This window comes from Homo sapiens, chromosome 4 (assembly GCF_000001405.40).
Source record: "Homo sapiens chromosome 4, GRCh38.p14 Primary Assembly".
In the NCBI taxonomy this organism is placed as follows: Eukaryota; Metazoa; Chordata; class Mammalia; order Primates; family Hominidae; genus Homo; species Homo sapiens.
This window is the reverse complement of record NC_000004.12, coordinates 103,799,601-103,808,243: the sequence shown is the minus strand read 5'-3', so window position 1 is coordinate 103,808,243 and position 8,643 is coordinate 103,799,601.

Genomic DNA, 8,643 nt, shown 5'->3' with positions numbered 1-8,643 from the left:
GACCACATAGTTGGAAGTGAAGCACTCCTCAGCAAATATAAAAGAAAAGAAATTATAACAAACTGTCTCTCAGACCACAGTGCAATCAAACTAGAACTCAGGTTTAAGAAACTCACTGAAAACCGCCCAAGTACATGGAAACTGAACAACCTGCTCCTGAAGTTAGAAATACACAATTCAAAATCATTAGCTGGAGATGCTAACACTTCACTTTTAGTTAACGGATAGAGCAAGTCGCAAGTAGGTTACTAATCAACAGGAGAAAAGAAGACTAAAATGACAATGTAAACCAAATAGCCATGAGAAATATCTATAAAACAATCTACTACACAGCAACAGTACATGCGTTCTTTCCCAGTGCATACTGAACACTTCTAGAATAGACCATATCTAGGATAGACCATAAGACAAGCCTGAATAAATTTAAGAGTATTGGAATAAAGCATGTTTGTCAACCACAGTGGTATGAACTTAGAAATTAATAACAAAGAAATTTTAGAAGTTCATACATATGTAAAAATTAAACAATATACTCAATGAATAGTTCAAATAATAAATCAAATGGAAAATTGCTAGAGAAACAATATTATGATGAATTAAAATGAAAATTGTAACAAACCAAAATTTATGTATGGGGCTAAAGCAGTGCATAAAGAAAAATTTGTAGCTGTAAACATCTAAACTAATGAAAAAAAAAAAGATCTCAAATCAATAACTTAATCTTGCACCTTAAAATGCTGGACAAAAAAAGCAAACAAAACATAGAGCATTCAAAGGAAAGAAATACTAAGTTAGGTATTTATCTTAAAGTTAAGGAAATAAAACAGAATAGAAAATCAATGAAACTCGAAGTTAGTTATTTAAAAAGATCAATAGAATTGACAATCTATTAGCTACATTTACTAAGAAGAAAGAGAAGTCTTAACTTTCTAAAGTCAAAAATGAAATGGAACATCACTACCACCTTAAGGAATAAAAAGCATTACTAGGGACAACTATGAACAAGTATGTAGTTATAAAATTAGGTAACCTAGATTAAATAAGCGATACTCTTAAAAGAAATGAACTTCTGAAATTTTCTCAAGGAGAATTTAAAATCTGCCCAGACCTGTACAAATAGAGAGATTGAATTTAAAAGCCATCCGATAAAGTAGAGTCCAAGCCCAAATGGCTTCACTAGAGAATTCTACCTAATATTAAATTAAGAATTAATGTCAATTATTGATAAACTCTTTCAAAAATAGAAGAGAATACACAACCAACTCATCCTATGAAGCAAGTAATACCCTGATATGGAAACTAGATAAAAACATAACAAGGCACTATAGAACATATCTCCTATGAATATATGTACAAATAATCCTCAACAAAACATAAGCAAATCAATTCCAGCAAACATAAAAGATGATTATAAACTATGACTACTGAGATTTATCCCAGAAATGTAAGATTGGTTCAACATGTAAAAATATATTAATATAATACATTATATCAATAGAATAAAGGTTAGAAACCACAGTCATATTATTCGATGTAGAAAAAGAATTTGAAAAAAAAATCTAGCTTGGTGTAGTGGCTTATGCATGTCATTAATCCCAGTGCTTTGGGAGGCCAAAGTGGGAGGATCACTTGAGTCCAGGAATTTGAGACCAGCCTGGCAACATGGTGAGACCTCTTCTCTGCAAAAAATTTTAAAAACTAGCTAGATATGGTGGTATGCTCTTCTAGTCCTAGCTATCTGGGATGCTGAGGCAATAGGATAACTTCAGCACCCAGGAATTTCAGGTTACAGTGAGCTATGATTGTGCCACTGCATTCCACCCTGGGTGACAGTGTGCGACGTAGTGTCAAAAAAAAAAAAAAATCCAAAACACTAAATGAACTTGAACTATAAAGAGATTTCCTCAACCTTATAAAGGACATGTATGAAAACCCTACAGCTAACATTCTACCTAACCATGAAATGCAAAATACTTTCTCATTAGGATCAGGAAAAATATATAGATCTATGTTCTTCACAGTTCTGTTTAATATTGTCGTGAGAAGCGCTAGGCAGATCAATTAGGGCAGAAAAATAAATTTAAAACACCTAGATTGGAAAGAAGGAAAGAAAGCTATCAATATTCCAGATGACATAATCTTAGGCATAAAAAACAGAGTCTACTTTAAAAACTATACGATTAATAAATGAGTTCAGCAAGGTTGCAGGATACAAAATCAATATCTAAAAATAAATTATATCCCACACAATAGCAATAAACAATCTAAAAGTGATATTTTAAAAAAATCTCATTAGCAGTGCAATGAAAAATAATAAAACTTGAATTAAAAATAAATTTAGAAATTAACAAAAGAAGTATAAGACACTGAAAACTAATACACATACACACACACGCACACTTTGGTGTGAAATAATTGAAATAAAGAAGACTTAAGTAAATGAAAAGCCATCTTATGTTAATCACATTATTGGATTGCAAGACATTATTATTAAGATGGCAAAAATCCTGAAATTGATGTAACTTCAATGCAATTTTCATCAAAATCCCAAATACTTTCCTTGCAGAATTTATCAAGCTGATCCTATAACTTATATGCAAATTCAGGGGACCCAGAATAGCCAAACCAACTTTTAAAAGAACAAAATTGAAGAAGCCACAATTGCCAATTTCAAAATTCACCACAAAGTTACAGTAATTAAGACAGAGTGGTATTGGCACAAGGGTAGTTATAAAGATCAATGGAAAAGAACTGGAAGTTCAGAAACAATGCTTAACATTTATAGACCATTACTTCTTGATTAGGTGCTAGGAAAATTCGATAGGACACAATAGTCTTTTCTACTAACCATTCTGAGACAATCGGACAGTCTCATGCAAAAGAATGAAGTTGGGCCTCATCCCATACACAAAATTAAATAAAGGTAGATCATAGACCTAACTATAAGAACTAAAACTCTATAAAATTCTTAGAAGAAAATATGAGAATAAATCTTCATGACCTTAGCTTGGGTAAAGGCTAAGACACTAAAGTACAACCAACTAACAAAAAATAGATTAATTAGACTTCACTAAAATTAACTTTTTGCCTCAGAAGTTTTACCATTAGAAACAAAACATATATCATAAGGAAAGCTAAAAGATAATCTCAGGAGAAATATTTGCAAATACTATATTTGATGAGAGAATTATATCTGGAATATGCAAAGAGCGCTTATAATTCAATCATAAAATACAAACAATTTAGAAAGTAGGCAAAGGATCTGTAAACATTTATCTATGGAATATGTTAATGCAGATGTCCATTAAAAACAGGAAAAGATGCTCAATGTCAGCAACAGTAAAATGCAAATGAAAACCACATGAGATACTATTTCACTTTTATTATGATAACTAAGATAAAACAGACATAGTAAGTATTGGCAAGAATGAGGAGAAACTGCAATCCTCAGACACTGGTGGTGGGAATGTAAAATGGTGAGGCTGCTTTGGAAAACATTCTGGATGTTCCTCAAATGGTTAAATATAGACTTAGCATATGATACATCAATTTCACTCCTCGGTGCATACCCCAAAGAAATAAAAACATATGTCCACACAAAACTTGTACACATAATTTCATAACAGCACTATGTATAATAGCAAATCATGGAAACACCTCAAATGTCAAAAGAGAACTAATATATCCATATGATGGACTATCATCCAAGCTAAAAATGGAGTAAAGCGTTGATACATACTACAATATAGGTGGACCTTGAAAACATTATGCTAGAAGCATTCAAACAAGCAGTCACAGAAAATGACATACTGTGATTCCATCTTTACTATATGTCTGGAATAGGTAAATCTATAAAACAGAAAGTAAATTTGTAGCTGTCTAGGGCTGAGGGGTTTGGAGGGGAATGGAGAATAACTGTTAATGGGTACAGGTTTTATTTTGAGAATGATGAAAATATTTTAAAATTGATTTTGCTAACAGTTGTATACATTTATAAATAAAATAAAAATGACCAAATTGTGTGATACATAAATTTTAATTTGACAATGCTGTAAAATATTTGATAATCTTATTAATAAGTTCATGCCAATAAATTTTAAGACAAATGAAATAGACAAATTCCTTAAAAGACACAAATATCACTCAAGAAGAAATAGGCATAGCCCTATATCAATAAAATAAAATAAAATTGAATACAAGGTTTAAAAGCTTCCAAGTAAGAAAACCACATGCCCAGCTTGCTCCACTGTTGAATTATACCAAAAATATAAGGAAGAATTAGTATCAAATCTATTCAAAATCTTTCAGAAAACGGAAGAGAAGGGAATACTGCCACAATCTCCTCCTGTGAGGCGGAAGAAAAATTATTCTTATATAAAAAACACTTCCTGGAACCCATCAGTTACTCATTTACACATTATTTCACTAAGAATTTTTTTTTAGTATCAACTATACTCCAGCCACTATAGAATGTGCTAGATATACAAGAGGTAATACATTGTTAATTATACAGTTTGATTGAGCGTCATGTACTATAAAGAGCCAAGTAAACAGGTAAATATAACACTGTTATAAATGCTTAGAAATTCACTATCCACAGCCCTCTGGGAGAAAATATTAAATAAATATTTCCAGAATATGTATGGTAGAGTGCAGGAAAGACTTTCCAGATGAAGTGATACCTAACTGTAATTGTTGTATTTCACTTTACCAGTTTGTTGTATAAGCAATGTTACTATAATGTTTAATCAACACATATTAACAACTGTAAATGCCAATATTGGCAGAAAGGACCATTTCTTCCTTCTGGAAGTTATCTATTTATAGCAATTCAAAACTCTGAAAGAGCACATGTAGTAGAGGAAGAATTCCTGAAGAGAGAAACGGTAGAGGTGAGAACTCATACTCTAAAATCATATAGATTTAAACTATTGTAGTAGAGTATCAGACAAGTTATTCAAGCTTACTGTTTCTAACTATTCTGCCTCCAATGGTTCTTGAGAAACTTAAGCAATTTAGTTTATTTGAAGTATTTAGAATACTACCAGGAACACTGCAAATGTTCTAGCGTAATCTATTATTTTTATTACATCGTCAGCAAAGGAAACTAAAAGATTGTAAGGATCTTATTTTCTAAGACTTTTGCTGCTCTGGCAATTATGTTTTAGAAAACTAGAGGTTCAACAGTGTGATACATAGATGTCACTTTATCCCAGTACTTTTAAGTATGGGTTGGCCTCTCAAACCCAAGAGTCCAGCCATCTAGTGGCAGACACTATAAACCTCCAGCAGCAAGCACTGCAATAAACATGGTACACCAATGTCATTGATACCAAGCAGTTTGGCCCTTCTATACCAAGTTCTATCTTATGATATAAGCCTCACATTGTCATGCCTCACCATCTTTAGCCTCTAGCCATCACTCTCATGACCTGGATGAGTTTTACTTAGCTCCAAATGTAATCATGCTAAAGTCATCTAGGCGTCTGTGATAGGCAAAATAATGACCTCCACAAAGCTGATTATGTTATTATCCACAGAAACTGCAAACATGTTAACTTGCATGGCAAAGGAGAATTAGCGTTGTAGATATAATTAAAATGTAATTCAGATGACCTTTAAGTGAAGAGATCATCTTGGATTATGTGGATGGGCCCAATGTAAGTTTGAGAGTCATTAATAGTGAAAGAGGGAGGCAAATGGATTCAACCTGATGTTACTAGATTTGAAGATGGAAGAATAGAGCCATGCACCAAGGAGTGGGGGCAGTCTTTAGAAACTGGAAAAGGGAAGGAAATAGATTCTTTCCTAGAATTTCCAGAACAAATTCAGCCCTTGTTGACACTGTGATTTGAGACTCATTTTGGACTTTTGACCTCCAGAACTACAACACAAATAAATTTCTATTGTTTTAAGCCACTCTGTTTATGGGAGTTTGTAATGGCAGCAATAAGAAACTAATATAAGTTCTCAACATTACAGATTTTTGTTGATAAAGTTCTTGACTTTTACAAATATAGCCATGATTTCCATAGTGCCTGGGTAGCTGAATACAAGTGCTCTTTTTCACTTGTTTGAAAAATTTTCTTGTAATTATTTGTTGAGATAATTTCTCTTCATAGCTGCATAGTAGTATTTCTATGGAATAATCATCACTATTTATTGATTGTATTTTCTATCAATAAAGCTGAGAGTCAAATCAAGAAGGCAATCTATTTACAATAAAAAAATCACTATTTAATAGTATAGTCCAGAGTATTTAGGCAGTTCCCAATATATCACTATTTATATATTATTATAGAGAACATTCTTACATGTAAACTGATATGGAAGTTCTGATAATTTCCTTAGAGCAAATGCCTAAAACTGTTAATAGTTGGGTTCAAAAAAGAAATGTGCCTTTTAAAGTTTTTCATGTCATGCCCATATTAACACTACCATGATCAGAGTAAGAGTGCCAACATTTATATATTCTTTATAAAATAGCTGTTTTTCCTTTTTTCCTTTTTGGCCAATTGTATAATCAGTAAACAATTGGTAATCACTGCTTTATTCTATATGTATTGGATTATTAATAATAGAAACTTAATATAAAATGAAAACTGATTTATTTATATTTATTTAAATGTTTGTTTACTTTTCTTAAATAGAAAATGGCCAGTCTCATATTTGTAGAGTCCTCGTTGCATTCATGACACTATGTTCATGTTAAATAAAGCTAACGACAAGTCCCTGCCTTCATAAAGTTTATAATCTCAATGTTAATCACAAACTAGCTATCATTAATGAACTTCCAGAGGAAACTCAGCCCTACTGACACCTTGATTTGAGACTCATTTTGGACTTTTGACATCCAGGACTATAACACAAATGCACTTCTGCTAGGGGATATAATAAAGTTCATTATACATATTTTCTTATCAAGACCTTTTAGTAATTTCACAGGAAAGTCATTATTGCCTATTTTATGAATGACAAAATAAAGATTCAGGGAGCTTAATAAATACGTTTTAGACCATTTGGCTGATATGTGTAGTACTGTCCTAGGGGATGAAAACCTCTTAATGGAGTAAAATTGATGTAACTAGACTTTACTATAAGTTTAATGCTGGCTGGTGGTATAGTACAATGCAGTAGATGGTTGTTTGGGCACATTTAACTCATATTTGATTATTTTCAAACTCTATGTCATTTTCTATGTCACTTTTTCTCCTAAGTCTCATTTTTTTCTCTAAAAAAATGAAGAAAATAATGCCTACATTACAGTTCTTTGTATAACTTTTGAAAATGGTGCTATTGCTCTAATTGTTCTACTGAACAAGAAGCTAAGGAAGAGCATAAGTCATAGCTACACTGCTAAAGTTTTATCCACTGTGCCTAAGATACTACCTGTCAAACAGTAAACACCCTGAATATTTGTTCTAATTTCTGTGGGTTTTGATTATTACTCTGTATTAGAATATTCTCCTAACTATCCACTGAAATTATTTATATATATGCTTTTATTTTATCCCTCATATAATTCAGTTTACTTTTAATAGGTATAAACATTTTCCAGCCTCAATTATGAATCATAATCTAGAGAAAAACAAATTGTGGAAATTGTGTACTAATAGTTAATTCATGATGGCCCATGTTACTTCCACTTTTTTAAAAAAAGGTTATTTACTTATCTGTGATTCCTTGAAAAATGTCATAAAGCTCTCTCTGTGTGGTCATTTGACCTACTAAAAATATGGGCACAGTTAAACTAATGAAAATAAATGTCATTTGTGATAATGAATCACAAGTCAATGAACATCTTCCCTTTTTTCTTATTTTCTCTCAGATTTATTTGGCTGCAAATATATACTGGTTGGCCCAGCAATTATTATAAAACCTCTTTATTCTTGGCCTGTCTCTATCCTAATGCTAAAAAAGCTGAAACTGATGTTTTAGCATTTTCAAATGTAAGGTTGTCTGTGTGACATAGTTTTGCACAAGGAGGAATTTCAGTGGGAAGGCTATTACTTCCCTGACAAAGTACACAGGTACTGCTGGAGGTGTCCTTGATTTTTTGGCACTTTTTTTTTTTTTGCCAAGTCAAATGTTCACAGGTTGTGGAGATTAAAATATGAACATCTTCGGTGGGTCATTATTTAGCCCATTACTCCTACTATCATTGCTATTTTTTCTGAATACGCTTCCTAATTTCTAAGCCAAAAAAATGTAGATTGAGAAAAACAATATATACAATTTTAATATGTGCTGAATTTAAAATTTATCTTCATTTGTATGAGAAAATATAATAAAAACAATATATAATCTACTTTTTACCAACTTTGATATTTAAAAAACACAAGACAAATTTTGCCAGAGAGAAATTTGTCTTTATGGATGCACCAATATTTTGTTTATATAAAAACCATAGGACCAGTTCAATAAACACCAAAAAAGCACTTGATAAAATTCAATACCTTTTCATAATTAAAAACTCTCAATAAACTGGAAATAAAAGGAAGATACCTCAATACAATAAAGGCCATATATGACTAATTCACAGCTAATACAAGACTGAATGAAGGAAGACTGAAAGCCTTTCTTCTAAGCTATGGAACAAAACAAAGATGCTCACTTTTCACCACTCTCATTCAACATAGTACT